This window comes from Homo sapiens, chromosome 1 (assembly GCF_000001405.40).
Source record: "Homo sapiens chromosome 1, GRCh38.p14 Primary Assembly".
In the NCBI taxonomy this organism is placed as follows: Eukaryota; Metazoa; Chordata; class Mammalia; order Primates; family Hominidae; genus Homo; species Homo sapiens.
The window spans coordinates 26,259,190-26,287,007 of NC_000001.11; the positions used below are offsets into that span (position 1 = coordinate 26,259,190).

The window sequence follows — 27,818 nt, forward strand, 5'->3', positions numbered from 1 at the left end:
GACCTTGCCTGAGATCATATAGAGAATGAGTGGAGGGAAGCCAGGCTTTGAGCCCAGGTCTTCTGATGTCTTGTCCTAGGTTCCTTCCAGTATACAATGGCTTAGGTATTGCTTTAAGGCAGTGGTTCTCAAATGTGAGTGTGCATCAGAATCCCTGGAGCGCTTGTTAAAATACAGATTATTGGGACCCATCCCTACAGTTTCTGGTTTGGTGGGCCTAGGAGTTAGGCTTAAGACATTGCATTGCTAACAAATTACATCATCAGGTAATGCTGATGCTGTTAACCCTAAGACCTAGTTGAGAACCACTTCTTAAAGAGATTCTTGGAGAAAAATGATATTTGACCGTGAAGTATGCTGGGAATAAGTAAAGTACATGAGACTATAAGGGTAGAGAACAGTTACATATTGAGAATCTTTCTGGCAGGAATTGCAGCGAGAAAACACTTTCTTACGTGCACAGTTTGCACAGAAGACAGAAGCCTTGAGCAGAGAAAAGATTGACCTTGAAAAGAAACTCTCTGCTTCTGAAGTTGAAGTCCAGCTCATCAGAGAGTCGCTCAAAGTGGCGTTGCAGAAGCATTCTGAGGAAGTGAAGAAACAGGAAGAAAGGGTGAGCTGAGTAGCTGATAGCCCTAGTTCACAAAGGAGTTGGCAGTCAGCTGTCTACTCTAAAGCCTAAGCTGTTTCTGGCCTGGAACTAAGAGGAGACAATTGGGTGAGATCCTCCACTGGCTTCTCACACAGAATCGTCACAGATCTCCTTTTTGCTAGAAATGGAACTCTCCTCCCTCCCTCATTTTTGCTTCATCTCCACAAAACCACAACAGTCAGAGAAAGTTGTATGATCCCTCACTGTCCCAGGTTGTGCTGTGCAATGTACCACCAGCTGGTCTGGGTAGAAAACCAACCTGAGTACTCATACCAGGTGGCACTGTTGCAAAATACACCTGTGGTATATTTGTATCATTCAGTCTGGTTTCTCACCCTTCCTAAAAAGTAGAGAAAAATTCCATGTGCATCAGGCATGGTGGCTCACGCCTGTAATCCCAGCACTTTGGGAGGCTGAAACGGGTGGATCACCTGAGGTCCAGAGTTCGAGACCAGCCTGGCCAACATGGTGAAACCCCGTCTCTACTAAAAATGCAAAAATTAGCTGGGTGTGGTGGCTGGCGCCTGTAATCTCAGCTACTTGGGAGGCTGAAGCAGGAGAATAGCTTGAACCCGGGAGACAGAGGTTGCAGTGAACCAGGATCACGCCATCATGCCATTGCACTCCAGCCTAGGTGATAGAGCAAGACTCCGTCTCAGGAAAAAAAAAAAAAATTCCATGTGCACAGCTAGTTTGGGTGTGTATATTTGCCAGTACTCTTAGAATTGCCTTAGGTTTAAAGTTATTTGGTTTTGTTGGTATCTCCCAATTCACGGCTTGCTCTAAAGCATGTGTTTTTGGGGAACCAGTTTAGTAATGTTAAAGTTCTAGACCACTTAAAACAACTAGAGCAATACTTCTCAAACTTCATTGTTTCAGAATCACTTGGGGATCTTGTTAAAAATGTACATCAGATTCATAGTTCTAGGAGGAAGCCTGAGATCCTGCCTTTCTTTTTTTTTTTTTTGAGATGGAATTTCGCTCTGGCATCTGGGCTGGAGTGCAGTGGTGCAATCTCAGCTCACTGCAACCTCAGCCTCCTGGGTTCAAGCGATTCTCCTGCTTCAGCCTCCCAAGTAGTTGGGATTACAGGCGCCTGCTACCACACCCAGCTAATTTTTGTAATTTTAGTGGAGATGGGGTTTCACCATGTTGGCCAGGCTGGTCTCGAACTCCTGACCTCAGGTGATCCACCCACCTCAGCCTCCCAAAGTGCTGGGATTACAGATGTGACCCACTGCACCCAGCTGGATTCTGCATTTCTGACAAGCTCCCAGGTGATGCTGATGTTGTTGGTACTGGAAGGACTTAAGAGGGTTTGTTAAAAAAGAAAATTTAAAGTTGAGTTAGGCTGGGCGCCGTGGCTCATGCTTGTAATCCCTGCACTTTGGGAGGCTGAGGTGGGCAGATCACCTGAGGTCAGGGGTTCGAGACCAGCCTGACCAACATGGAGAAACCCTGTCTCTACTAAAAATACAAAATTAGCTGGGCGTGGTGGCACATGCCTATAATCCCAGCTACTCAGGAGGCTGAAGCAGGAGAATCACTTTAACCCAGGAGGCGGAAGTTGCAATGAGGCAAGATCGCTCCATTGCACCCCAGCCTAGGCAACAAGAGCGAAACTCCATCTCAAAAAAATAAAAGAAAGTTGGGTTAGTGAGTTTAAAAAAATAATAATTTATATATCTGTTAGGTAATTAAATACCAATAGATTTATAATAAAACTAGTAGTTCTAAAAACAAATGAAAAAATAAAAAATTTAGTAGTTCTGGCCAGACTCAGTGGCTCATACCTATAATTCCAGCACTTTGGGAGACTGTGGCAAGAGAATTGCTTGAGCTCAGGAGTTTAAGACAAGCCTGAACAACATAGTGAGACTCTCTTAAAAAAAAAAAAAAATTTTTTTTTTCCCTAAAATCAAGTTTATTACTCAGAGCAAAAGTTGCCCATATAATACGTTGCTCTTCAATTTTTATTTCTGCATGGTTATACAGTCTGAATGACTAGTTTACAATCCCAGGTGGTATTATAAGTTTTGCTTTTACTGGCCAGGCATGGTGGCTCACACCTGTAATCCCAGCATATGGGGAGGCCAAGGCAGGCGAATCACTTGAGGTCAGGAGTTCGAGACCAGTCTGGCCAACATGGTGAAACCCTCTCTGTACTAAAAAAAATACAAAAATGGCCAGGCACGATGGCTTACACCTGTAATCCCAACACTTTGGGAGGCTGAGGAGGGCAGATCACAAGGTCAGGAGATCAAGAACATCCTGGCCAACATGGTGAAACCCCATCTCTACTAAAAATACAAAAAATTAGCTGGGGGTGGTGGCGCACGCCTATAGTCCCAGCTACTTGGGAGGCTGAGGCAGGAGAATCACTTGAACACAGGAGGCGGAGGTTGCAGTGAGCCAAGATCACACCACTGCACTTCCAGCCTGGCAACAGAGCAAGACTCTGTCTCAAAAAAAAACAAAATGCAAAAATTAGCGGGGTATGGTGGTGGGCTCCTGTAACCTCAGCTACTTAAGAGGCTGGGGCAAGAGAGTTGCTTGAACCCAGGAGGTAGATGTTGCAGTGAGCCGAGATAGCACCACTGCTCTCTAATCTGGGCAACAGAGTGAGTGAGAGTCTGTCTCAAAAAAAACAAAACAAAACAAAAAAAGGCGGGGGGCGGGGGATGTGACTGTTGGAAGGGGAAAAGTCCTCGCTGACAAAGAAATGACACTAATGAAAATAAAATCAAGAATGATCCACTGGTACCACAGATGATAGAGAAGCTTGTCAGTGAGCAGTTCCCTACTTCTTGCAGCAAAGGGGAGCATGGGCTAAAAATATTTTAGAAAAATCAAACGGCACCTGCAACACACTCTTAAATAAAGGCCAAGCTTGCAAACTATTCCTCCTCATCCATGTTGCTCAAATGTGAAGGAATTCTATATAAGGCTAAAATCTAGTGAATCTTCTCACTTCAATTTCCACCTCTCTGGCTCAAGTCATTCTTGTGACTTAGCCTCCCAAGTAGCTGGGATGATAGGCACATGCCACCACACTGGGCTAAATTTTGTACTTTTATTAGAGATGGGGTTTCACCATGTTGGCCAGGCTGGTCTTAAACTCCTGGCCTCAGGTGATTCACCCACCTTGGCCTCCCAAAGTGCTGGGATTACAGACATGAGCCACTGCGCCTGGCCCTCACTGCTGCTGCTTTGTGGAATACAGTTTTTCTTCAAGTGAGACTAGGACAATCTCTTCATATTCTTTTAGTTCCTGGGATGTTTTACAGTACTCTGTCCAATCACATCTACATCTCTAGACAAGTGCTCCATCATGCTTTCAACAGTTGTGGTTGGTGCATAAAAATTCACCAAGAAATACCCACCTCTGCTGTGCTGTTGACGAAGATCTTATAAGGAAGTGCTCATTTGCCCAGGTTTTGCAAGTCCCTCACTATTGCTCCTCTGTTCATCAGGGCTTGTATCATACTTTTCAAAGCAGCAGTAGTCTCTGGCTGCGGCATGGCTGTCAAGATTAAAGCCAGCTTATAGCCAGGCATTCCCAAGGGCTTGGTGGGCGGCTCAGAACTGGGATGGTTCCCGGGAAGCAAAGGAGCAGGATGGCAGGGACCTGGAAGTGGCTGGGCTGAATGGCTGCCGGATGGCAAAAGCTACAAAAAATTTTTAAAAATTAGCCAGGCATGGTGGTCCCTCCTGTAGTCCCAGCTACTCAGGAAGCTGAAGTGGGAGAATCACTCACTGGAGCCCAAAAGGTCAAGGCTGCAGTAAGCCATGATCTCACAGTTACACTCCAGTCTGGGTGACAGCAAGACATTGTCTCAAAAAAAAAAAGGAAAAAGATCAGTAGTTCTGTGCCCCAGCACAACCCCACAATTGTGTATCTATCTTGAGCTCTTCTCTTTCACCTGATATATATATATAGTTGACCTTGGAACAATACATTTAAACTGCACAGTTCCACTTGTACGTGTATTTTTTTCAACCAAACACAGATCAAAAATCATGTATTCAAGAGATGCAAAACCAGAGTATATGGAGGGCCGACATATATGTGGTTTCTTCAGGACCAGCTGTGGGACTCGAGTATGAGCAGATTTGGATATACAAAGGTGGTCTTGGAACCAGTCCCCCGTGTACACCAAGGGACGACTGTATTTCTGAATAGTATGCTTTTCCTGCGCTTTTTTTCTTCAGTGAATTTTATACATCTGTTTTTGTTTCATGGGTACAGTATCTCTCTGACAGTATTGATTGTAATTGTTTTGGGTGTTTACATCTGTTTATAGTATTTCTTGTTTTCTTAAGGTCCTTTTTTTCTGTTTTTGGTGTCTTTCATGTTAGAGGCCTGGTGATCATTGAATGGATGGGCATTCATATTTAAGAAGGTAGCAGGCTGGGCGCGGTGGCTCACGCCTGTGATCCCAGCACTTTGGGAGGCTGAGGCAAGTGGATCACCTGAGGTCGGGAGTTCAAGACCAGCCTGGCCAACATGGTGAAATCCTGTCTCAACTAAAAATACAAAAATTAGCTGGGCATGGTGGTGGGTGCCTGTAATCCCAGCTACTCGGGAGGCTGAGGCAGGAGAATCGCTTGAACCTGGGAGGTGGAGGTTGCAGTGAGCTGAGATCACGCCACTGCATTCCAGCCTTGGCAATGAGAGTGAGACTCCTTCAAAAAAATAAAATAAAAAGGAAGCATTTAAAAGCTGGATGAAAGCTCTGGATTCATGGTGGTTACCTGTTGGACTTCACTGTAGTATCAGACTTAGACTACCCTTTTCACTTGGGAATGCTCAAATGTCAATCTCTGGATGTCTTCTCTCACTCTCTCTAGGGAAGAATCTTCAACCTGCTGCCTGGTGGAGAGGCTAGAGGCAGGAATGCTTTTTAGCCTTTGGATTCTTGATGTTGAGGAGATTGGGCTTAGAGTCCCCACAGTTCTATACATAGTTTTTTTTGTTTGTTTTTGAGACACAGTCTCGCTGGAGACTCTGGAGTTGCTGGAGTGCAGTGTCACGATTTAGGCTCACTGCAGCCTCCACCTCCCAGATTCAAACTATTCTCTCTCATGCCTCAGCTACCTGAGTAGCTGGGATTACAGGCATGTACCACCACACCCGGCTTTTTTTTTTTTTTTTTTTTTTTAGATAGAGTCTCGCTTTGTTGCCTGGGCTGGAGTGCAGTGGCGTGATCTTGGCCACTGCAGCCTCCATCTCCCGGGTTCAAGCGATTCTCCTGCCTCAGCCTCCCGAGTAGCTGGGATTACAGGCACCCACCACCATGCCCGGCTAATTTTTGTATTTTTAGTAGAGACAGGATTTTGCCATGTTGACCAGGCGGGTCTCAAACTCCTGACCTCATGTGATCTGCCCGCCTCGACTTCCCAAAGTGCTAGGATTACAGGCTTGAGCCACTGCACTGGCCTAATTTTTGTATTTTTTATAGAGATAGAGTTTTACCATTTTGGTCAGGCTGGTCTTGAACTCCTGGCCTCAATTAATCTGCCCACCTCAGCCTCCCAAAGTACTGGGATTACAGGTGTGAGCCACCACACCCGGCCATATACATAGATTTTTACTTATACTTGTTTTCAACCCAATACTTCACCCTCTCTGCTGTGACTGGGTATTCTTGAGTTGGGAATCTCTCTGATTGATTTCTCCAGAGAATAGTCTCCTGATGGGGAAGCCCAGGGTGAGGCTGATATCTAGCTAATTTGTATATAGATTTCTAGGGAATTCCCCTATTTTTCAGCTCTGTGGTTGATACTTGCCTCCATAGTGAGCTGATACTTCAGTTCAGAGGCTCTTGAGAATTGGGAGGAGCAGATTTTCTTCCCTGTTGTCTGTAACTCCCACTGCAGATTATAACTTTTCTGCCCCAAGTCATTTATCTCCCCTGTTCACTTTCATCTTTTAAAAACATTAAAATCTTTCATAGGCTGGGCATGGTGGCTCACTCCTCTTAATCCTGGTACTTTGGGAGGCCAAGGCAGGAGAATTGCTTGAGCCCAGTTCAAGAACAGCCTGGGCAACATGACGAGACTCCATCTCTATAAAAAATTTTAAGCCAGGCTCGGTGGCTCACGCCTGTAATCCCAGCACTTTGGGAGGCCGAGGTGGGTGGATCACCTAAGGTCAGGAGTTCAAGATCAGCGTGGCCAACATGGTGAAACACTGTCTCTACCAATAATACAAAAAATTAGCTGGGCGTGGTGGTGGACACCTGTAACCCCAGCTCCTCGGGAGGCTGAGGCAGGAGAATCGCTTGAACCCGGGAGGTGGAGGTTCCAGTGAGCTGAGATCACACCACTGCACTCCAGCCTGGGCAACAAGAATGAAACTCCATCTAAAAAAAAAAAATTGTTTTTTCTTTAAATATTAGCTGGGCATGGTGGTACACGCTTGTAGTCTAAGCTACTGAGAGGCTGAGGTGGGAGCATCACTTGAGCCCAGGAGGTCAAGGCTGCAGTGGGCTGTGTCCGTGTCACTGCACTTCAGCATGGGTGACAGAGCAAGACCCTGTCTCAAAAAAATAATAAATCTTTCCTAGACTTTTGTTTCCTCCCCTGTTGTTTCTCAGTTAATACTTTATTTCTTTTCTGTCATTTTAAAGATGTTTTTGGAAGGGAGAAGAGATAAACATTTATGGTCAGTTTACCATTTTCAGTAAGCTTCCCAGGTGATTCTGATACATACTGAAATGTGAAAATCACTGGTTCAGAAATTTAAGAGTACAGATTGGACCTAGGATAAGCTTTTGGCTGATTTTCAGGGATCTTTCTTTGTACTGTTATATCTTTGGATTAAATTAGGCCTTTGCCGCCTCTTTGACATTTAGTAGATCTGCATCACTTTTTCTGTTTTCTCTTGCTTTCCTCACCTTCCTTGTTCATAAGCAAACAAAATAAAACAAAGCACCATAATGGTGAAGAAAAAGCCTCTGTTCAAATCTTTATTGAATACCTGCTCTGTGCCAGGCCTTCTGCCGTGTGTTTAGTATATGATTATTAGCAAACAGACATAGCTCTTTCTCTCAAGTCTCATTAGCCTTTCCAGTTGATTGCATGGCTTTATATCATGTGTGGTATTTAGGGAAGAATATATTACCTTTCTGACCAAACTGGTTATATGTCTTATCAGAAAGTTATGTATACTTCTGCAGTCCAATTCAGATGCACACCATCTGGAGTTAGTGTCAGACTCCACAGGTTTAAGGGCACAGTTCTCAGCAAAACTGTGTTTACTTCAGATGCCAACAGCAAATTTTGGGGTCTTCAGGCCACCCGTATTTCTGACCAACTGGCTGCAGATCTGTAGGCTTCTATGACCCCTTCAGGTTTAATAATTCCCAGAATTACTCACAGAACTTAGGAAAGTGCTATACTTATTATTACAGTTTTATTATAAGGGATACAATTCAGGGCTGGGTGCAGTGGCTCATGCCTGTAATCCCAGCACTTTGGGAGGCCGAGGCAGGTGGATCACCTGAAGTCAGGGGTTCGAGACCAGCCTGGCCAACATGGTGAAATCCCATCTGTACTAAAAATAGAAAAATTAGCTGGGCATGGTGGCGGGTGCCTGTAATCCCAGCTACTCGGGAAACTGAGGCAGGAGACTCTCTTGAACCCAGGAGGCGAAGGTCGCAGTGAGCCAAGATTGCACCATTGCATTCCAGCCTGGGCAACAAGAGCGAAACTGTCTCAAAAAAAGGGGGGTGGGATACAATTCAGGACCAGCCAAATGACATAGGGTGAGGTCCAGGAGCATCCTGAGAGCAGAGCTTCCATGCCCTCTCCTTGTGGAATAAGAGCATGTAAACACAGCACATTTATGTGTTTACCTACCAGGAAGCTCCAGTGAGCTGCTGTGTCCAGAGTTTTTAGTTGGAGTTTTATCTATGTAGGCATGATTGAACTCAATCACCCGTCCCTCTGCCTTCCCCATAGTAGATTAGGCTTAAAGCAGTTGATTTTTCTGGTGATCTGCATCCATTCTGAGTCATAGTATTGGCATAAATTTACTCATGATGGGATCTGGCCCACTCCTGTCCAATTCAGGAAATTCCAAGGGCTTAGAGGTTACAGGCCTCCCAGGAACCAGGTACAGAGACCAGACAAATTCTGTATTTTACAACAGAAATGCTGCCAGTTTTTAAAAACTGCCCTAGAAGACTTTCTCCGTCCTTGATTTGAAAGTTCATTAATTCTTTAGTTTTATACTCAAATCCTAAATGGCAAAATTTGTTTAGCTTCCTACCTTCATTGCAGTAGAACAACATTCACAGCCTCAAGGGTTGCTTCAAAAAAAGTTGATGTGGCTGGGTGTGGTGGCCCATGCCTGTAATCCCAGCAGTTTGGGAGGCCAAGGTGGGCGGATGGCTTGAGGCCAGGAATTGGAGACCAGCCTGAAAAACATGGCGAAACTCTGTCTCTACAAAACATAGAAAAATTAGCCTGCCGTGGTAGTGTGTGCCTGCAGTCCCAGCTACTCCAGGGGCTGAGGTAGGAGGATCACTTGAGCCTGGGAGGTGGAGGCTGCAGTCAGCTGAGATCACAGCACTGCACTCCAGCAGGGTCATAGTGGAGTGAATGGTGGAGACAGACTTGACATTTATTTTCCTAGGTCAAAGGTCGTGATAAACATATCAATAATTTGAAAAAGAAATGCCAGAAGGAATCAGAGCAGAACCGGGAGAAGCAGCAGCGTATTGAGACCTTGGAGCGCTACCTGGCTGACCTGCCCACACTGGAAGACCATCAGAAGCAGAGCCAGCAGGTAGCAGCAATGTCTTGGCATGCCTGGGGTGATCAGGGAGTGGCCAGGCAGGGGAACTTTTTCATCATCTGCTGTATGCAGTTATCCTGTGACTTGCTGAAAGGAGAATCCCAAAGCAGTCATGTCCAGATTCATAATTGTCAGATTTGTAACCAGACTGCAAATTTTTTGAGGTACCCAGACAGAGTCTTCCTTATGTTAAAGTGAACCCCAAGTTTCTCTTCAAAGAATCAGTAAGTTCAGGTCTCTTACTCTTTGATTCACTATTTTAAAGTTTAACTTCCTGGTTCTCTTCGCCCTCTTGCTTCTAGTTTCAGTAAACAACCTTTTCCACCAGTTTTAATCAGTAGTTCACATCTGTTCCCCCGGTCACCTACTCCGTCCTGACTCATCCCGGTCACCTGCTTTGACCTGAGTCACCCTGGTCACCTGCTCTGACCTAAGTCACCTTTAATTACCTGTTCCTAACTGTCCTTCCCACCAAACTACTCACCCCACCACTCTGGCTCATAAACCTGTTCCCTTTAAAATAGCCAATCAGAATTAGCTTAGACTGTGTGGTTCAACCCTAGCCAATAGGGGAACGACATAGCAGTAGGGACTACCTGCGTCAGAAATAAGAACTCCTTCCCCTCCCCTGTCCAGTTGTGTTCTCACCATTGTTCCATCTGCGAGGAGCACCCTTTCTGCAGAAAGTAAAAATTGCCTTGCTGAGGAAATTAAATATAGGTTTGAGTGCTATTTCTTTGTGACACCGAGGAACAAGCATTTTGCATTTATAACACTTGGCTTATTTGACCTAAACATGGGATCCTGTCTCTCAGCTTAAGGATTCTGAGTTGAAGAGCACAGAGCTGCAGGAGAAAGTGACTGAGCTGGAGAGTTTGCTGGAGGAGACCCAGGCAATCTGCAGAGAGAAGGAGATTCAACTGGAAAGCCTGAGGCAGAGAGAAGCAGAATTCTCCTCCGCTGGACATAGGTAAATAACCCTGTGGGACTGAGAGGAGTGGAGAGTTAAGTTTTTTGTCATAGCCATCCTGCTCACTTACCTGTGTGACTTTGGGTGATTTGGGAAAATCATTTTACTTATCTGAGCTTTGTTTTCTTTGGACTGTGAATAATAGGAAAGCTGCTTATGGGAAGCGGCTTTTTTTTTTTTTTTTTTTTTTGAGACGGAGTCTTGCTCTGTCGCCCAGGCTGGAGTGCAGTGGTGCAATCTTGGCTCACTGCAAGCTCCGCCTCCCAGGTTCACACCATTCTCCTGCCTCAGCCTCCTGAGTAGCTGGGACTACAGGCGCCCGCCACTGCGCCTGGCTAATCTTTTTTGTATTTTTAGTAGAGACGGGGTTTCACCGTGGTCTCGATCTCCTGACCTCGTGATCCACCCTCCTTGGCCTCCCAAAGTGCTGGGATTACAGGTGTGAGCCACCGCGCCCGGCCAGGAAGCGGCTTTTATATCTTTGGCATGGAGTATGGATGCAGTGGGGGCTTATCTTCATAGCCTTTGTAAGGATCTAACCCAGTGCCTGGCACATAATTCTTAGTATGTATGTGTTGAATAAATGAAAGCACTTTGTAAACTGGGAAATGAGGTGTCTGTATACTTTCAAAAGTGGGTACTGGTGATAAGAACTGAGAGTTATCCACAGTTCGAGCTGTGTAGGCTAAAGGCTACCAGGAGCCTTTCTCCTCAGCCCTAGGGATTGTTCTCCATTGCCATGACAGGTTCTGAGAACAAAACAAGATGCCATAATGTACTCTCAGGATGTCTTGGGAGCCTTCTCCATATTAATAGCAGTTTCTGAAAATAATGGTGTGTTTCAACAGCCTCTTGGACCAAATCCAGTTTCTAATGGGATAGATTGGATTTCTCATCCCATATTTAACCACAGTGTCCCTGTTGTTTATCTCAGCAGATGGGCTTTGCTATAAGTAATTGTAGGGACCCACTGGAGGAAACCATTGGTTAGAGTCAGAAGTGGGGTTAGAGGACAAAGTTGGCTTTGCCCCAGACTGTGTGTGCCAAGAAAACAGCTTTTGTATTTTCCAAACTTTCTACAATGTACATGTATGACTTACAATCTAAATACATGTGATAAATATGTATTTTTTAAATATCAAAACAAAATACACAAGAGCCTTGGGCAGGTAGAGAATTGGTGTCACATTGTATAGATTCTGGCCCTTAGGGAAGAGAATTAACATACACTGAGCAGCTTTTGTGTGGCACCCCATATATTACAGCAGACCCAAGTATTATCCCCAGCTACTGCTTGGACTAAGTGTCTTGCCTCAAAATGTGCAATAAGTAGCAGAACCAAGAATCAAAGCCACTTGTGTCTAACTTCAGAGTTCTTGAAGAGGCCACTGTCTTTCAGCCTGCAAGATAAACAGTCTGTGGAGGAGACCAGTGGAGAAGGTCCAGAAGTGGAAATGGAGTCCTGGCAGAAGCGATACGATTCGCTCCAAAAGGTGACTGAGGGTGTCCAGGCTGTAACGGAGGGTAGGCTGGGAGGAAAGAGAAGATTGTGTATTAGGAGGGATACGTGAATTCTTGGCTTTGGGCTATCTAGGATTTGTTACCAAGAGCTTTTCTTTCTTTTCGGAGAAGTCACCCTGCATAGTAATTTGTATTTAGATAGTCATCCTTGTAACAGGCAAACTTCACTCATTTAGAATATAGGCAAAAGTAAGAGGAGGGGTGATATGCCTCTGAATATCTAGATTAGATGACCCAAAATGGTGCAGTAAAGTTTGGTGCACTTTATTCATGGCTCAGGCCCATACAGAAACCCTTGAATTGAACAGAGTTCTAACCAGTGAGGTGCCCTGGTTTCTTAATTCAGCAAAGACGAGAGAGCCAGGGGCCGGCTGGTGAAACTGACTGCAGGTTAGTAAAAAAAAAAGAAGACCCATAAATGATTCAAAGAAACCAGGCCTATTTAGGGTCCCTTCTTGGATAATCAGTACGACCAGAGCTGTAAATAACAACAACCATCATAGTGCTAGAAATGGCAAGCTTCATTAGACTGAATTTTTAGCCATGTCCTTGTACCAAAGAACAAGAGTTTGCACTGGCTGTTTATAAAATTGATTCCACTGGCCTGCAGTTATTAGGGTGAGAGTTCCCTTTCCCCCAGTAGTGGTTATGTGTTCACACTACATTCCTGTATAAACCTTTGTGATTGGAGCACAACTGTGAAGCTAGTTAGCCAGGATTAGGAGTCTGGTTTATATTCCTATAGGTAGAGTTCACTAATCTTTATCCTGGTCTTACTCTTAATGGTCTAATAGCCAGACCACATGTCCTAGTGCAGCCCCCTTGCCCTCTGTCCTCACCGTCAGCCTTGTGCTCGCAGCCTTCCTTGATAACTTTGCCTTTCAGATTGTGGAGAAGCAGCAGCAGAAGATGGATCAGTTGCGCTCACAAGTACAGGTGAGCAGGAATCCTTGGGACATGGTGGGCAGAACTTAATGATGGAATCTCTAGAATTTAGCCAATATTTATTTTGTTCTCTGCCATGCAGGTTGCTCAGTGTTAGGGATACAAAAAGAATGAGACCCAGTCAGTGCTTTTGAGCCTTGCTGAGAGGACACAAATATAGTAGGGAGTTTCAGCACAGTACTGTGAGAGCAGTCCCCACAGTATCCTGGGGGAGTGCAGGAGAGTCAGTGGGAGGAAGGGAGGTAAAAGAGAGGTTTCTGGAGATCCTGAACCTACAAGGATGAGGAGTTAGCCAGGCAAACAAGAGGAGCTGGATAGGATGTGTTGGATTCCAGATAGGAGGAACAGCATGAGTGGGAACATGGAGACATGAAACAGCATAGTTTGAATGTGGTGCTGCAAGCAGTTTGATACTGCTGACGTATCCACTTTAAGATGGTAAATGGAGACCTGGGCATTCCAGGCTATGGAAGGGCCTTATCTATCAACTAAGTTAGCTTTTATTCTTTATGTAGGTGGTGGGCATCTATTACAGCATTTTTTTTTTTTTTTTTTTTTTTTTTTGGAGACAGAGTCTCGCTCTTGTCGCCCAGGCTGGAGTGCAATGGCGCAATCTCGGCTCACTGTAACCTCTGCCTCCCAGGTTCAAGCAATTCTCCTGCCTCAGCCTCCCGAGTAGCTGGTATTACGGGTGCCCACCATCACGCCCGGCTAATTTTTGTATTTTTTGTAGAGACGGGGTTTCACCACGTTGGCCAGACTGGTCTCGAACTCCTGACCTCAGGTGATCTGCCCGCCTCGGCCTCCCAAAGTGCTGGGATTACAGGCGTGAGCCATCATGCCCAGCCTATTACAGCATGTAATTGGGATGTGATGTGGTCAGGTTTGCAACTCAGGCTCAAGTGTGGAAGATTGGCATCCTGGAGAGAAGAAAGGTCCAGGGGGACTGTTGGAGAAATTCTCGTGAGAGGTGATGAGGGAACCTGGCATAAGGCAGCATAGCAGCGAGGAGATGTGAGGGGACAGATTTAAGTGACTTTAGGAGGTAACATCAAGCGGAATCAGTGACTGACAAGATGTAGGGGTTGAAGAATAGGGAAGAATCAAATATGACTCCAGGTTTCTATTTTGGGCCAGAGTGGGAGTGTCTTTAACTGGGTTCTCCAAGAAATTCTGGGTAAAGCAGGTTCACTCAGCGTCTCTTTGGACTCTAAAAGTTTTCACACCAAAACACCCGAAATGCACTCGTTTTGAGGGAATAAGTGGAGGCTGCAGTCTTGCCTTTGCCATTATGTGGATTGGGCTACGTCTATCTGGTTCACCTCTTTCAAGTCCTGTAAGGAGGTAGTCAAGCCTGGCAAGCATTTTAATACATACCCATTTAAAATCCCAGGTTTTTAGTAGAGTTTTTAATGGATCTCAAAATAGGTTTCCTAGAACCCTTGGGGTTCTGCAAAGTTTGGAAAAGCCTGACATTTTAAATGGCACATTTACCTATGATAAGACTACTTAGGCAAATTAAAATATCAGGTGAGGCCGGACACGGTGGCTCACGCCTGTAATCCCAGCACTTTGGGAGGCCGAGGTGGGCAGATCACAAGGTCAGGAGATTGAGACCATCCTGGCTAACAAGGTGAAACCCTGTCTCTACTAAGAATACAAAAAGATTAGCTGGGCGTGGTGTCATGCACCTGTAGTCCCAGCTACTTGGGAGGCTGAGGCAGGAGAATTGTTTGAACCTGGGAGGTGGAGGTTGCAGTGAGCCGAGATCACGCCACTGCACTCCAGCCAGTCTGGGCGACAGAGTGAAACCCCATCTCAAAATAAATAAATAAATAAATAAATAAATAAAATATATATATATATGTGAATTTGTTGGAATTAGATGGATTCATCATAGTCACTTTGGCTATTTCATGATCATGAGGTGTTTTCCTTAGCAGTTTTTTTTTTTATTAATACCAAATGAGAAATATAAAAAAATTTTCACACTTCATTCAAATCAGTTTCAAAATTTGAGGAAAAATTGAATGAAGAGAATGAGAGGCAGAAGTTTAAAAGCTTAAATATCTCCCTTCCCCTGACCGCTCCTACACACACAAACACAGACACACTTACACACAACTCACTAGATTAGGTACCTGTGAGTATGCTCTTCTACCCCTTTCCATGTCTCTGAACAGCATTTAGTAGACAGTATTGTCAAGAGCACTTGACTGTTAACTCCTAAAAGACAGGAACTGTTTGGTGTTCTTCTCAATGCTGGTCACAGTAAGTGCTCGGTAAATAGTGAACTCAGCTGAATAGCACATTCCCTGCCCTCAAGAAAGTTATGTTTGAGTGGAGCGAAGGATCATGTGCATAGCCAACTAGAATATTAAGCAGATGTACTCGTAAGCCATGATGGATATGATAGCAAGGTAGGATTAGGATTAATTAGATCTGATTTGCAGATTGAAGACAGCTCAGGTGTGCCTTGGAGGTTTCCTGGAGGTAACAGCAGAAGAGCAGCTTGAAGAAAGGAAAAGAGAAGTGAGCAGAAGCATTGACACTGCAGCCTTCAGGGATGAGGGCCAGTCATTCATCGTGACGGTGTAGAGGCTGGCCATGTGGAGGGTGGAAAGAGATATGACTAGAAAAGTAGGTAGGAGCTACAGTGGCCTTGAATGCCCTGCTAAGAAGCTGACCTCTATTTGGTATGTGGTCAAGGGCTATAGGAGGGTTTAAATGGGAGGTCACAAATCAGGACTGTTCTAAAATGATTTCTTATGAGGGTGTAGGTAGGGTGAGTCGTCACTATATAGTCCAAGCCAGCGGTGATATTGTCTGAACCAGACTTGTTACCCCTACTGTGTTCCCTCAACATCTTGCTGTGTGATTCAGAGCCTAGAGCAGGAAGTGGCTCAAGAAGAAGGAACAAGCCAGGCCCTGAGAGAGGAGGCCCAGCGAAGGGATTCAGCCCTGCAGCAGCTGCGCACAGCCGTGAAGGAGGTGAGCAACATTAGTCAGACCTCTTGGTTTTGCCTCCACAAACCCGATTTCTTTGTTTGCCCTCCCCATCTCTACCCCAATAAGAGCCCCAGTGTTTGAAAGGGAAAGGTCCCTACTGAGCTCTGGGGGCAGAGGAAAGGTGCATTGCATCATTCTTTATATTACAGACCCTAAGCCTGTTTTAGCATGTCCATAATTATTACCTAGGAAGGTTTTTTTTTTTTTTTTAAGACAGAGTCTTGCTCTGTCGCCAGGCTAGAGTGCAGTGGCGCAATCTCGGCTCACTGCAACCTCCGCCTCCCAGGTTCAAGCGATTCCCCTGCCTCAGCCTCCTGTGTAGCTGGGACTACAGGCACGCGCCACCACGCCCGGCTAATTTTTTGTATTTTAGTTGAGGTGGGGTTTCACCATGTTGGCCAGAATGGTCTTCATCTCCTGACCTTGTGATCCGCCCACTTTGGCCTCCCAAAGTGCTGGGATTACAGTCGTGAGCCACTGCGCTGGGCCCAGGAATGCTTTTTGATGGGGAAAGTCATTCTCTCTTCCTTTGTCTTGAAGCCACAGGTTTCTGGGGTTGGGGAGTGGAGAGTTCAAGAAGACTGAGGATTTGGTGGCCTTCATGCACTAAACAGAGCTGTCAGCAGGGGGCAACCAAGTTCACTGACTGGCCTAGTGCCTAGGAAGGAACCTCCTTGAGTTAGGATTGTCACATGGCCCAGTGTGGGTGGAGGGCCTGGGACTGAAGGACGGACTCTATTCAGACTCTATAAAAATACAATCAAGGTAGGAAGGGAAGGAAAGTGGATTAAGCTGTCAGGAAGAGAGGGAAACAGACAGACATACATGAATAGATGGTTTTTGTAATAAAGTCTGACTCCACTGAGGTGAGAGTTTGAAAAGGCAGGACTTGTTCCAGGGCTGGATCCTCCAGGTTCCAGCTTCTCCAGCCCCCCACCTAGTGGCTACTAGCTGTCATATTGTCTTTCTTACTCTCTTTATTCCTCTGACACACTGTGATCAGGCTGGCTGGTGGCCACTTTTGTCAGGGTGGCAGGGAGAGATTGAAACCAGTGTCTCCTCAGATTTCACGGTTCACATTAAGCCTTCTCTAATAGCCTGGCTAACAGAGTTGGCTGAGGGACTGGCTTGAGATAGAGTTCCTAGGGGCGGGAGCATCTTCTCTGGTTCTTGAACAGAAACTTGGATGCTGATGATTCAGAACCAGTTGAGGGTTGGCTTCCTCTCCAGTGCTAGAGCCCTGTGGGCCCAACCTACCCACAGGAAGAACCAGGCCTGATACTGATAGTGGGAGAAGTGCTAAAAGCCTGTTGGCAGGGGTAGGGTTGGGGAAGGAGGGACACTGCCTATGACTCACCCATCCCTTCCACACCCACACACTCATGCACAGATACTCTTCCTCTCCCTGGGCCTGAGTTAATGTGCTTACCCATCTGTCTGCTCAGCTTTCAGTGCAAAACCAGGACTTGATTGAGAAGAATCTGACACTCCAGGAACACCTGCGCCAGGCCCAACCAGGGTCTCCACCTTCACCAGACACGGCCCAGCTGGCACTTGAGCTGCACCAGGAGTTGGCCAGTTGCCTTCAAGATCTGCAGGCTGTCTGTAGCATTGTGACCCAGAGGGCCCAGGGCCATGACCCCAATCTCTCCCTGCTCCTGGGCATTCACTGTGAGTCCTCAGACCAGTCTGGGGCCCAGGAAGGAGGGTCCTTCTTTCTCTTCTCTCCCCCATCCTGCTTTCCCATATTCTTGTGGTAATATGTAGACAGAGTACATAGTCCTGGCCACTGCCCTCTGGACATTTATTTGTTTCACAAAGTAGGTGTTCACAAATCTGTTTTTGGAAACAAGCTATGGGGTACTTGCATGCAGGACAAACTAAAAGTGGACCTTCAGCAGCAAATTAACCCACTGTCCCCAGATGCTTTTTTTAAAGTGCATGTCCCAAGACTGTGGGTTCAAGATACTGCCTATCCATACTGCACCCTCCACATGAAAATGTCTCATAACTAACATTCTCTTGAAATGCTCTTCTCCCCAGCAGCACAGCACCCAGAGACTCAGCTAGATTTGCAGAAGCCAGATGTGATCAAGAGGAAACTAGAAGAGGTTCAACAGCTGCGTCGTGACATTGAGGACTTAAGGACCACCATGTCAGACAGATATGCCCAGGACATGGGAGAAAACTGTGTCACACAGTGAGGAATTCTGGGGGATTCCCCCAGGGAGGAGCTGGGCTGCTGAGAGCCTAGTCCAGCAGGTTTCTGCCCTGACATTCTCTTGTCTGCTATTCCCAGAGAGGTCTCAGAGGGGAGGGGAGAGCCTGCATCTGGGGGCCAAGGGCTGATTAGGGAACTGTGTCCTACCCACACTGGCATGTTGGATTACGTTTGTCCTGTTAATTCACTCTAGACGGTGAGTTACTAATTAACTTTTGGCAGGTACAACAGATAAGTCCTCACAAACTGTTCCCAGCCCTAGGCTGACATGAGAGACGAACAGGCTGTCCACCTTTCTTCTCCATCCAATGGGATGGATCCATGTTCATTCCCACTTCACACCTTGGTCCTGCTGATTAGAGAGCTCATCAGAGGGGCCTGGAAAGGCTGAGCAAGTACCAGTGACAATGGCCATTTAAGAATTCTCAGGCCCCATGTGCCAGCCTTCTTGGGAACTGAGCTGGCTTTCTGGGTTTTCTCATGCCTGGTCTTACTGCTTCTTCCTCAGGGCTCTTGTTCTCCCAGAAGCCTCAGGGTAATGTGTTGGTTAGCACGTAACTACTAGGATTGGGGCCCTAGGGATTATAGCCAGGACTCTAATCTGCCTACCATGCCATTTAACAAGAGATCCCACTCTCCAGCTGCCTTGTGTCCCTAGGGTCCTGGCCATGTGTTTAGTGTGCTAAACTTTCTCCTTTGTTCTCAGGCCTTCCAGGTAGTCCCCTTCCTGGACTTAAGAGTGCAAACTCTTCTCTGTGGTTCTAGCCTTGGGCAGAATTATATCCCAGAGACCACAGAGCAACTGTCAAGCTGCTTACCCCCTCACCCAGGGCTACAGCCTGTGCCCAGCCCTCTAATTTGTGCCTCTCTTGTGTTGGGGGTGGTGGGGGTTATTCCTTTCCCTTTCCTGCTCTGGCCTCCTTGAAAGTTCAGAGTACCCAGTACAAGTCAGCTTTAAAGTACAGCTTTTAGTGTTTCCTGGGTTGTTTCTCTGGGGCTTTAGTGAGGGACCTTTGCCCTCTGGTTTTTCTTGCCTCCTGGTTTAGGGAGCATCTCACACTTGTTAGTATCTGGTTGTTGGGCCAGCCGTGCCTCCTCTAGATCTGGAGCCAGGCCAGGCAGGGGCCACGTGTGGGCCAGTCAGCCACTACAAGATTTTTGCTAAGCTTTGGGCTGTTGGCAGCATCTTGGACCTCATGCCTGGGCCTGAATGAGGCTCTTTCTTAAGTGTTTTTACAAGTTTGTGTTTTATTTATGGAGTGACTTATCCCTTCCATTCAGAGCAGCCCCACCCAGCCAGCCCTTCAGCCTCTGGGCTCCTGCTGCTTAAAGGCAGAGCCGCCTGGTTGGTCTCCACCCTGTGCATTGGGAGCCCAGCCACCATGCTGACGGGTATTTTTCCTCATAAAGTTTATAACCAGTTATTTATATGAATCTTTGTTATGTCCATTTGTTTGTATTGCGTATTTTGATTATAAAATAAAGTATCTTAACAGACTCCTCAGTTTTCCATACCCTTCCATCACCACCACCACGCTATTCTACCCCTCACTTTGGCTTGTTAGAGCCAAACACCTGGGTGTTCAGCCAGGTCCCCCAGGCAGCAGCGTGGAGGAACCTTTGGCAGGTCCAGCCAGCCTCATGTCCCTATCTATCTCTGCCACCTCTGCTCCTCTGTCGTTCTATAGAACCAGATCTCTTCCCACTCACTTTCTCTTGGGCAAACCTTCCCTGAGTCATAACAGAAGTTTGTCACTGGAAAGTTTCAGCAGTCCTCTCAGGAAGTTGGCAGCCTCTGGGTTGCTGTGAGGAAGTGGCTTTACCAGAGCAAGGGTTGTCTTTCTGGGCTGTTAACCTGCCTGAGCCCTGGACCAGGGGGACATCTGAGAAGCATGATGTTGAGTGCCAGACAGCTAGGTCTCCAAAGTTGGGCTCGTTGCTGGAGTCTGCCCCCTCAACCGCTGAATTCTTGCTGGGAGTAGTAGCAGTTTGGGAATGCCATCTGCAGCATGGAGCTGGGGTTGAGCTTGGACCACCCCAAGACCTGGGGTGGATCTTAAGGGTCAGCTTGAGCCTAGGCTCTCGAGTCCTGACATCATCCTCTACCGCCACGCTTTCCAGCTGTCAGCCTTGGTCTCCATCTGGTTCCTTGAGGGTGTGGCCTCTGCGTCCTGCTATCACCCTTCCTTGTCTAAACCTTCCCACCTGAGTGGAGAGGAACTTGGGGGAAAATCTCTAAGCATGGGCTCTTCCTGCTGTCCTATGCTTCCTATCCCCTAGGGTTAGTGGTGCGTGTTGGGTGGTGGAGCGAGGGATCCCTTGGAGCAAGGTTCTTAGAGAACTTTGGGTCTGAAAGCAGCTCAAACCTTCCAAAGCCCCAAGCTTCCCTGTGCTATTAGAGCACCTCCTCCTGGAGAGAGCGGCTCTCGTGGCTGGGGAGTTGGATGCACCAAACCTGTGTGCGGCTGGAGAGGGAGGCTTCTGCCAGACCCTCTCCCGGGCCTGTCCTGCCACCCAGGCCCCTCCCCAGTCTCACACTGAGCTCCAGATCAGGGAAGGGCCGAAAAGGACGATCAGGGCAGCCGCAGAAGGGGCGCCCTGCGTGGGACGGGTCCGTTGCGCGCCTGGTAACCGAGGGGGAAGGGAAGGGGCCTCTGGCGTGCGGGGCGGTGTCGCGCAGGTCCCACCCCGCCTGCCCGCGCCGCCCATTGGTCCCGAGCGCGATGACTTGGCGGGCGGAGCAGGAAGGAAACCGCTCCCGAGCACGGCGGCGGCGTCGTCTCCCGGCAGTGCAGCTGCCGCTACCGCCGCCCTCTGCCCGCCGGCCCGTCTGTCTACCCCCAGCATGAGCGGCCTGCGCGTCTACAGCACGTCGGTCACCGGCTCCCGCGAAGTAAGTGCGCGCCCGGACTGGCGCTGGGGGAAAGCGCAGGGCTGTATCCCGGTGCTTTGGACCCTAGCGCCCGGGACCCACCCCCAGGACGGGGGCGGGGTGGGGGGAGTGCGTCGGCGAGGTGCTGGGCACGGTCTCCCGGACCCGGTCCCGAGGCCCCATCCTGAATGTCTTCATCGGGCATCCTGGGTCCTTTGCAGCCGCGGCATGAACTTCCCGTGCCCATCCCCCATCAACCCCACACCCATTCTCTGCACTCCCACTACCGGGCTGACCCTGACCACGACCGCAGCCTGCCCTCCCCTCCCCTCCCCACCCTGAGCCTGATCCCACTTCCCTTCACTCTGACCCCCTCCCCCGTGGCTGATAATCCCTCTCTTCATCCTGCACCACCTCAAGCCTGACTCATCCTCCCAACTCCTAGAGGCCAGAACCCTCCCCTAGTGTGGAGGGGAATGGGGGGACAAAAGCTCCTGGTCACAGCCTCTCTCACCCTGCCCAGCATTTCCCCCATAAATCCTCCAGCCTATCCACTAACCCCTACCCACCCTCTGTCCCCAGATCAAGTCCCAGCAGAGCGAGGTGACCCGAATCCTGGATGGGAAGCGCATCCAATACCAGCTAGTGGACATCTCCCAGGACAACGCCCTGAGGGATGAGATGCGAGCCTTGGCAGGCAACCCCAAGGCCACCCCACCCCAGATTGTCAACGGGGACCAGTACTGTGGGGTATGGGCTGGGGGACGGGGGGGTGGGGGGAGTGTTGGAAGAGGACTCTAGCCAGGGTCATATCTGCCACAAAGCACTTGGGCCCCCTGCATTCAGGTGACCACCCCTCGCCTCCCCTTCTCCAGGACTATGAGCTCTTCGTGGAGGCTGTGGAACAAAACACGCTGCAGGAGTTCCTGAAGCTGGCTTGAGTCAAGCCTGTCCAGAGTTCCCCTGCTGGACTCCATCACCACACTCCCCCCAGCCTTCACCTGGCCATGAAGGACCTTTTGACCAACTCCCTGTCATTCCTAACCTAACCTTAGAGTCCCTCCCCCAATGCAGGCCACTTCTCCTCCCTCCTCTCTAAATGTAGTCCCCTCTCCTCCATCTAAAGGCAACATTCCTTACCCATTAGTCTCAGAAATTGTCTTAAGCAACAGCCCCAAATGCTGGCTGCCCCCAGCCAAGCATTGGGGCCGCCATCCTGCCTGGCACTGGCTGATGGGCACCTCTGTTGGTTCCATCAGCCAGAGCTCTGCCAAAGGCCCCGCAGTCCCTCTCCCAGGAGGACCCTAGAGGCAATTAAATGATGTCCTGTTCCATTGGCACTGTGTCTGGTTGGTTGTGGCCTGGGCCTCCTGGGTCCCTGCCCTGGGCAAGGTTGGTAGTTGTGACTGTGCTGAGACTGCTCTGTGGGAAGGGTGGCTGAGCTGTTCTCTTGTGACTGTCACCTCTGTGTTTGTTAGTGCATGTGTTTGGATATGTCTGACACACAAATACCTGTATGGACCAGTGGTTTCTGGAGATGTCTGGGTGGGCCACCCTCCAGTTCACATGCATGTGTCCATATCATGCTTGTGCCTTGGTGTGTAGTGCACATCTCCATGCCTGTCAGTGAGTGTGGCCATCCCATGCGCCTGTGTTGGAGCACAATGGCTAAGAATGAGTGTATCATGGGAGGTGGGTACCCAGCTGCAGTTCTGCTAATTTGGGGGCATGGGTCTAGTGGCAAAATGGCTTTGTGCGGTGTTGAAGTGTCCCCACGAGTTGGTGGGTCTGTGCCTGTGCACAGGTATCTGCTGGCTGCACACATACACAGTGAGGCTCTGCTGTCCCAGCTGAGAATGTAAACCCAGCTGGGGCCAGCTCCTTCCCCCCACTGCATCCCTCCCTTCACAGGATCCACTTAGCCCTTCTTGGGAGAAAGAGGAACCTAGAAGACAAAGACCCAGCAGCCAGGCCCGCCAGCCGGGGCTCGAGTTACCAAGGGGCGGGTCGGCACCGCCCCCTCCCTGGCCCAGCTGGTCCCAGGCCTTTCCTACGTGCCTGGCGAGATGGCCCACCCAAGAGCCTGGCGGAGCAGCGGGTTGAGGGGGCGGGTGCTTTATTGGGGGCTGGGACTGGGTCCAGGACAGGGACTGGGGCCGGGACCGGGACCGGGACTGGGGCCGGGACCGGGACCGGGACTGGGGCCGGGACCGGGACCGGGACAGGGACCAGGACTGAATTTCAGGCTGGACTTCGGGGCTCGGCGTGCCCGCAGCAGCAGTGCTGCTTTGGGCACAAGGCCTGCAGCCTGCAGCGTGAGTGTATCGTCCTGGTAGAGGGTGGGCGGGAATGTGCTGAAGATCTCAAAGGCAGAGGCATCCATGACCCTGGGGACCAGGCAGAGCAGATCAGGCTGGGCAGTGGGACCAGAGCCCCTCTGTGGCCCTGGCCCTGCCCTGCACCCACCTGGCCTGCGCTAGCAGAGCTCGCACGTCCCCAATGGTGTTGTCAGGCTGCATCATCAGTAGGAAGGCCTGTTCCCCATTCTCAGACTTGATGCGCAGCATGGAGAGCGGGGGTGCCGGCGTGTTGGGTGACTCCTGGCTCCTGCACAGCCCAGAGGCCATCAGCACGCGGTGACCCAACGCCCCCAGGCCCTCACCTCCTCATCCCGCCCTCACCTCTCTCGCTCAGCGGCCAAGGTGGGCGTCTCCACCACAATCTCCTGGATCCGGGCAGGCAATGGGCAGCAGTTCTGGAAGGTATCAGTGGAGGGTGGACAGAGCCCTAGGCCCCATTTGAGTCATCCCCACAAACCTTAGAGGGACACTTCCTTGACCAGGGACAGATGAGACCAGTGAGCAAAGCGGGAGGGGGTGTTCTGTATAAACCAAGGCCAGAGGAGAGGCAATGGAAGGGGAAGAAGGTTCTGGGAGGCAGCCCCATGGTTCCCCCCAGGTAACCCCCCGTTTCAGTCTAATGGAGACAGAACCCCACACAGACGATGATCAGGCTGGAAGCCCACCCCAGCCTGGGGTCAGGGAAGGCTTCCCTCGGAAAATGACAACTGAGCTGTGACTGAAGGATGAATGGGAGTCCTTAGAAATGGAATGGATGCAGGGATATTCCAGACAGCATCAACAAAGATCCTGGGTTCAGGGAAAGCTTCCTAGAGGTGGCGACACATTTGGGCAACTGCCAGCATTATGTGTGGCTGAAGCTGGGGCTCAATTGGACTGGAAGGAAAAGGTTGGTGTGAGGAGGGGCCTGGCAATATAGGACGGGCCTTGAGTGCCAGCATAAGGAACCTGGCTTTATCTCAAGAACCACTGGAACATTTCAACAGGGAAGGCAGCCTGGAGGATGGTCAGCAGGGGCAGGAGTGGCAGTGGGAGGCAGCTGTCTGGGAGAGACACTCTGAACCCTAGACTAGGGTGGTGGGTGGTGGGAATGTGGAGAAGGGATGCATCTGGGAGAAGTTCTGGGGGTGGACAGACCAGACAGGACTTAGCAATGTGTGGGTGAGGGAGGCAGAGGAGGCCTGAGAAACTAAGGTTTGGTGCCTTTCACAGGTGGACACCTAGGAGGAGAAGCAGAATAGGGAGCGAGGAGACAGAATGATGAGGGCCAAGGAGAGTCTGAGGCAACCACGAAGGGAGTACCCAGTACTGAGTTGGATATTTTGGCCTAGACCTTGATGGGGTGGCCTGGGCCTTGGGCTCACCCCTGGCCTGGACTCTGACTTTAGCCCTCTTACAGCTAACCCACCTGCTTTCCGGGGCCCAGCCCGTGCCCTCACCAGCCTCACAGTTTCCAGGAGACAGTGGAGCAACAGCTCTGAGGGACTCATCAGGTGCCTCAAGCTTGAGCCTTCTGACAAGACACTGTTCTGGCAGGCTGGACCAGGGCTGGTGCTAAAGTTCCCCCAGGAGGGCTGGGGGAGTTAGCATTGGCCTCACCTGCAAGGTGTCCCTGATGGGGCCCCGGATGTCAATCACCTCGCCTTGCCGGATCACAAACTTGGGGAGCCTGTTCAGAAATTTCTCAGCAGTCATCCTGGAGCCTACAGGCAGAGTTGGGAACCGGGGCCCAGGAAGGACTATGAGTGGTGGTGGAGCCCCCCTGGAGTTTGTTCTGCAGTCCCCCAGCCCCCTGGCTCAGCCTGGAGGCCAAACTCACCTGGGTGCTCCTCCACCCTGTCCAAGGCCTTGTGCATCAGCTGCCTGCCCACCACACGGCCCTCGCCTGGGAAGGGGTCCAGTCCATCCTCCAGGTAGACCTGATTGCGCAAGTCACTCACCTGGCAAGAAAGAAGGGCAACGACGGCAGCGGACCCAGCTCTTCAGCCCTTGGCCCCACTTTCATCCCTATTTGCCTAAACACAGGCCAAGGGTATGGTCTAATGCAACCCCCATTTTACATATGAGGAAACCCAGGCCTCAGGAGAGCCACGGTTCGTACTGCTGTCATCTCCCTCAGCCCTGCTGCTCCTGTAAGCACCCCATCCACGCCAGCTGAAGCTGCAGTACTGACACCCTCCTTGGAGACCCCCCTCTCAGGAGCCTACCGTGAAGGCAGAGTGTGAGGGGGTCAGGAGAGGACAAAGCCCCTGCTTTTTTCCAGTCTGCAGCACAAACCGCATCATCGTACATGTAACCTCACTTGCCTTATCAAGGCATAGCTCCGAGGTCCCCGCTGTGGCACGAATGCCTTAAACACCCCCGCGTCATGACTCATGCTGTTTCCTGAGCCCTGGTGACACATGCTCCCTCCCGGACACGCCCTCAGTGCGGCACTAACCCACCACCTTCTAGAACACGAAGCCTCATGGGCTCTGGTGGTGGCACCTACCCATGGGGCCAGCTCTACCTCATGTCTTTGAGTCCCAACATCTGTCCCCTCTGCTTTGCATTTGTGGCTCACAGCACTGCCTCCCACCCTACCCAGATAGCTTCAGGAGACTTGGGGGACAGCCGGGCCACTTCTGCAGGGACCCCAGGTTGTCAAGGTGTCCTGAAAGCTGGGGAGGACTAGAAGGCAGGGGCCCCGCAGCCGAGGCTGTCTCCAGGGTGCCAGCAGAGGGCGCTGCCTGCTGCTCTGTTTCGGGCCTCTCCGCTCCCTTCCCAGCCCGGCTTCAGACTTATCCTCCTGGAGGGCATCAGACTGGGGTCCCCCAGGGAGTGCAGCGGCTTCCCCTCAGAATGGGAGGTGTCTGGGGAGGCTGTGTATCCCCACTCCCTTCAAAATCCCCAAAGGTGTGGTTTGAGGAGCAGCTTATCACCTTAAAGGGGACCCCATTGGGGTACAGTCGCTGGAGCTCTGAGGGAAAGAAGCCATCCAATATGTCTCGGAGGCAGCGCTGCAAGGGAAGAGGAAAAGTGAGGGGGTGGCCTGGGCCTTGGGCCCACCCTGCCCTGCCACTGGTCTGGATGGCAGGCCCTAGATCCAGGGTCACCCAGTGCCGCACTCTGGAAACATTCAGAGTCCCAGGCCTTGGGAGAGGGGCCTCTGCAAGTCGTGTGTGGGCCTGGGTGCCCCGTGGAGGGCAGGCTGGGCCTGGGGTGAGCTGGCTTCATCATCCCCAACTAACAGTGGGCAGCAGGGGCACTAGAGCACCACCCCCCCCAACACCGCTCCTACCTGTGTGGAGGGATCGTAGAAGGGCTGGAAGGGCCCGTCGAACATCATGATGCCATTCCGGTAGAGCTTCAGCGGGATGGGCTCGAGGGTACGCAGCCGTGCCCCGCCGGGCACTGGTGTCACTTGGGTGTCACCCTCTACCACCAGCTCACTAAGATCCTGCAGGCTGGCCAGCAGCCTGTCAAAGTCCACCTCAGGGGGCGCCAATGAGTCCCCTGGCAAAGAGGACAGACACCTGTGAGCCGCCTTTTGGCTGTCATGTCCCTAGCAGCCCTAGCCTCTGTGGCTCCCTCCCAAGCTGGGCAGTGGTCTTAATGTCTCCTTAACTGACTGCCTGGGGAAAAGGACAACGCTAGATAATAACAGCAGCTGTCTTTTATTGAGCACTTATTTTGTGCTAGGGGTTTACTATCCATATTCCATTCCCACTTCTTATCAAGCCTATCTATAAAGGCTATAATCACCTCCATTTTTTCAGATGAGGAAACTGAGGGTTAGAGAAAGTTACATGGCTTGTGAGAAACACAGTAGTAAGCAGCAGAAGCAGGATCTGATCCCAGATCTGTGTCAGGCACTGGGTTGGCAGCTGAAAAGTACAGGGCAGAGCTCCCAGCTCTGGATCGAGGCCTTCTGGGTTCAAATCCCAGTTCCTCCCTTCTATCTGTGTGACCTTAGGTCATTTAATGCTTGTGCTGCAGCATTCTCTTCTAGAATGGATGACAGTAGTATCTGCCTCCTAGGATGGCTGTAAGGCTCCAAGAAGTAACCATGTTAAGAGCCAGCTTGGAACACGCACCCTGTCCATGTTTGCTACTGTGCCCAACTCCACCTTGCACACATGGTCCTTACGCCAACCCTGAGGCTTAAGGCAGGGGTAATTATTTTTATTTATTTGAGATGGAGTTTCACTCTTGTTGTCCAGGCTGGAGTGCAATGGTACAATCTTGGATCACCGCAACCTTGCCTCCTGGGTTCAAGCGATTCTCCTATCTCAGCCTCCTGAGTAGCTGGGATTACAGGCATGAGCCACCACACCCGGCTAATTTTTGTATTTTTAGTAGAGATGGGGTTTCATCATATTGGTCAGGCTGGTCTCGAACTCCTGACCTCAGGTGATCCGCCCGCCTTGGCATCCCAAAGTGCTGGGATTACAGGTGTGAGCCACCACGCCAGGCTGAGGCAGGG

At 49.9% G+C, this 27,818-nt stretch overlaps 3 protein-coding genes and 1 pseudogene across 14 annotated transcripts in view, besides 8 other annotated features; 2 read left to right on the top strand and 2 right to left on the bottom strand.

The window, feature by feature from the left end:
• The window catches only part of CEP85 (centrosomal protein 85), a 44,609-nt gene extending 24,990 nt beyond the window's left edge, over positions 1-19,619 (top strand). For 4 of the 8 annotated variants that reach the window (NM_022778.5, NM_001281517.3, XM_024449200.2 and 1 more), the window contains 8 exons: positions 428-613; positions 9,294-9,446; positions 10,271-10,425; positions 11,825-11,918; positions 12,832-12,882; positions 15,775-15,882; positions 17,346-17,571; positions 17,944-19,619. In NM_022778.5, the coding sequence (NP_073615.2) occupies positions 428-613; positions 9,294-9,446; positions 10,271-10,425; positions 11,825-11,918; positions 12,832-12,882; positions 15,775-15,882; positions 17,346-17,571; positions 17,944-18,104 (1,134 nt within the window). In that variant the 3' untranslated portion in view covers positions 18,105-19,619. Of the gene's footprint in view, positions 1-427; positions 614-9,293; positions 9,447-10,089; positions 10,176-10,270; positions 10,426-11,824; positions 11,919-12,831; positions 12,883-15,344; positions 15,424-15,774; positions 15,883-17,345; positions 17,572-17,943 lie in introns of those variants that run through there. The other 4 variants (XM_047428051.1, NM_001319944.2, XM_017002105.3 and 1 more) reach the window with 3 other exon arrangements.
• MRPS6P1 (mitochondrial ribosomal protein S6 pseudogene 1) lies at positions 3,846-4,209 on the bottom strand (annotated as a pseudogene).
• Positions 16,668-17,867: an enhancer, noted in NCBI's record as "MED14-independent group 3 enhancer chr1:26602348-26603547 (GRCh37/hg19 assembly coordinates)". NCBI's record gives its function as "activates an origin of replication core promoter dependent on BRD2, BRD4, P300/CBP and CDK7 cofactors, and independent of MED14, by STARR-seq in HCT116 cells {active_cell/tissue: HCT116}" and the evidence as "EXISTENCE:reporter gene assay evidence [ECO:0000049][PMID:35650434]".
• Positions 20,418-21,305: an enhancer, noted in NCBI's record as "H3K27ac-H3K4me1 hESC enhancer chr1:26606098-26606985 (GRCh37/hg19 assembly coordinates)". NCBI's record gives its function as "activates a minimal SCP1, AML or CMV promoter by ChIP-STARR-seq in naive H9 embryonic stem cells {active_cell/tissue: H9 hESC(naive)}" and the evidence as "EXISTENCE:reporter gene assay evidence [ECO:0000049][PMID:30033119]".
• Positions 20,681-21,252: a silencer, noted in NCBI's record as "fragment chr1:26606361-26606932 (GRCh37/hg19 assembly coordinates)". NCBI's record gives its function as "represses an EF-1alpha promoter that drives an FKBP-Casp9 reporter gene in an ReSE screen in K562 erythroleukemia cells {active_cell/tissue: K562}" and the evidence as "EXISTENCE:reporter gene assay evidence [ECO:0000049][PMID:32094911]".
• Positions 20,729-21,178: a silencer, noted in NCBI's record as "silent region_475". NCBI's record gives its function as "represses an Ori minimal core promoter by ATAC-STARR-seq in GM12878 lymphoblastoid cells {active_cell/tissue: GM12878}" and the evidence as "EXISTENCE:reporter gene assay evidence [ECO:0000049][PMID:35858748]".
• Positions 20,897-22,333, top strand: SH3BGRL3 (SH3 domain binding glutamate rich protein like 3). The gene is made up of 3 exons (NM_031286.4): positions 20,897-21,014; positions 21,576-21,743; positions 21,869-22,333. Exons 1-3 carry the CDS (start codon positions 20,967-20,969, stop codon positions 21,932-21,934), a joined length of 282 nt encoding a protein of 93 aa, NP_112576.1. The 5' UTR covers positions 20,897-20,966; the 3' UTR covers positions 21,935-22,333.
• Positions 21,306-22,192: an enhancer, noted in NCBI's record as "H3K27ac-H3K4me1 hESC enhancer chr1:26606986-26607872 (GRCh37/hg19 assembly coordinates)". NCBI's record gives its function as "activates a minimal SCP1, AML or CMV promoter by ChIP-STARR-seq in naive and primed H9 embryonic stem cells {active_cell/tissue: H9 hESC(naive and primed)}" and the evidence as "EXISTENCE:reporter gene assay evidence [ECO:0000049][PMID:30033119]".
• The window catches only part of UBXN11 (UBX domain protein 11), a 36,074-nt gene continuing 31,348 nt past the window's right edge, over positions 23,093-27,818 (bottom strand). For all 5 annotated transcript variants that reach the window (NM_145345.3, NM_001389559.1, NM_001077262.2 and 2 more), the window contains 7 exons: positions 26,634-26,848; positions 26,275-26,352; positions 25,173-25,293; positions 24,953-25,056; positions 23,675-23,748; positions 23,460-23,600; positions 23,093-23,380 (listed from right to left, as the gene is read on the bottom strand). In NM_145345.3, the coding sequence (NP_663320.2) occupies positions 23,110-23,380; positions 23,460-23,600; positions 23,675-23,748; positions 24,953-25,056; positions 25,173-25,293; positions 26,275-26,352; positions 26,634-26,848 (1,004 nt within the window). In that variant the 3' untranslated portion in view covers positions 23,093-23,109. The remainder of the gene's footprint in view (positions 23,381-23,459; positions 23,601-23,674; positions 23,749-24,952; positions 25,057-25,172; positions 25,294-26,274; positions 26,353-26,633; positions 26,849-27,818) is intronic.
• Positions 24,688-25,278: an enhancer, noted in NCBI's record as "H3K4me1 hESC enhancer chr1:26610368-26610958 (GRCh37/hg19 assembly coordinates)". NCBI's record gives its function as "activates a minimal SCP1, AML or CMV promoter by ChIP-STARR-seq in primed H9 embryonic stem cells {active_cell/tissue: H9 hESC(primed)}" and the evidence as "EXISTENCE:reporter gene assay evidence [ECO:0000049][PMID:30033119]".
• Positions 25,404-25,493: an enhancer, noted in NCBI's record as "active region_486". NCBI's record gives its function as "activates an Ori minimal core promoter by ATAC-STARR-seq in GM12878 lymphoblastoid cells {active_cell/tissue: GM12878}" and the evidence as "EXISTENCE:reporter gene assay evidence [ECO:0000049][PMID:35858748]".
• Positions 26,174-26,323: an enhancer, noted in NCBI's record as "active region_487". NCBI's record gives its function as "activates an Ori minimal core promoter by ATAC-STARR-seq in GM12878 lymphoblastoid cells {active_cell/tissue: GM12878}" and the evidence as "EXISTENCE:reporter gene assay evidence [ECO:0000049][PMID:35858748]".

Coding starts and splice junctions, on each gene's coding strand:
- SH3BGRL3 (NM_031286.4), top strand. CDS start 20,967: ATGAGCGGCCTGCGCGTCTACAGCACGTCGGTCACCGGCTCCCGCGAA. Junction 21,015..21,575: donor CGGTCACCGGCTCCCGCGAA/GTAAGTGCGCGC, acceptor CTCTGTCCCCAG/ATCAAGTCCCAGCAGAGCGA. Junction 21,744..21,868: donor ACGGGGACCAGTACTGTGGG/GTATGGGCTGGG, acceptor CCCCTTCTCCAG/GACTATGAGCTCTTCGTGGA.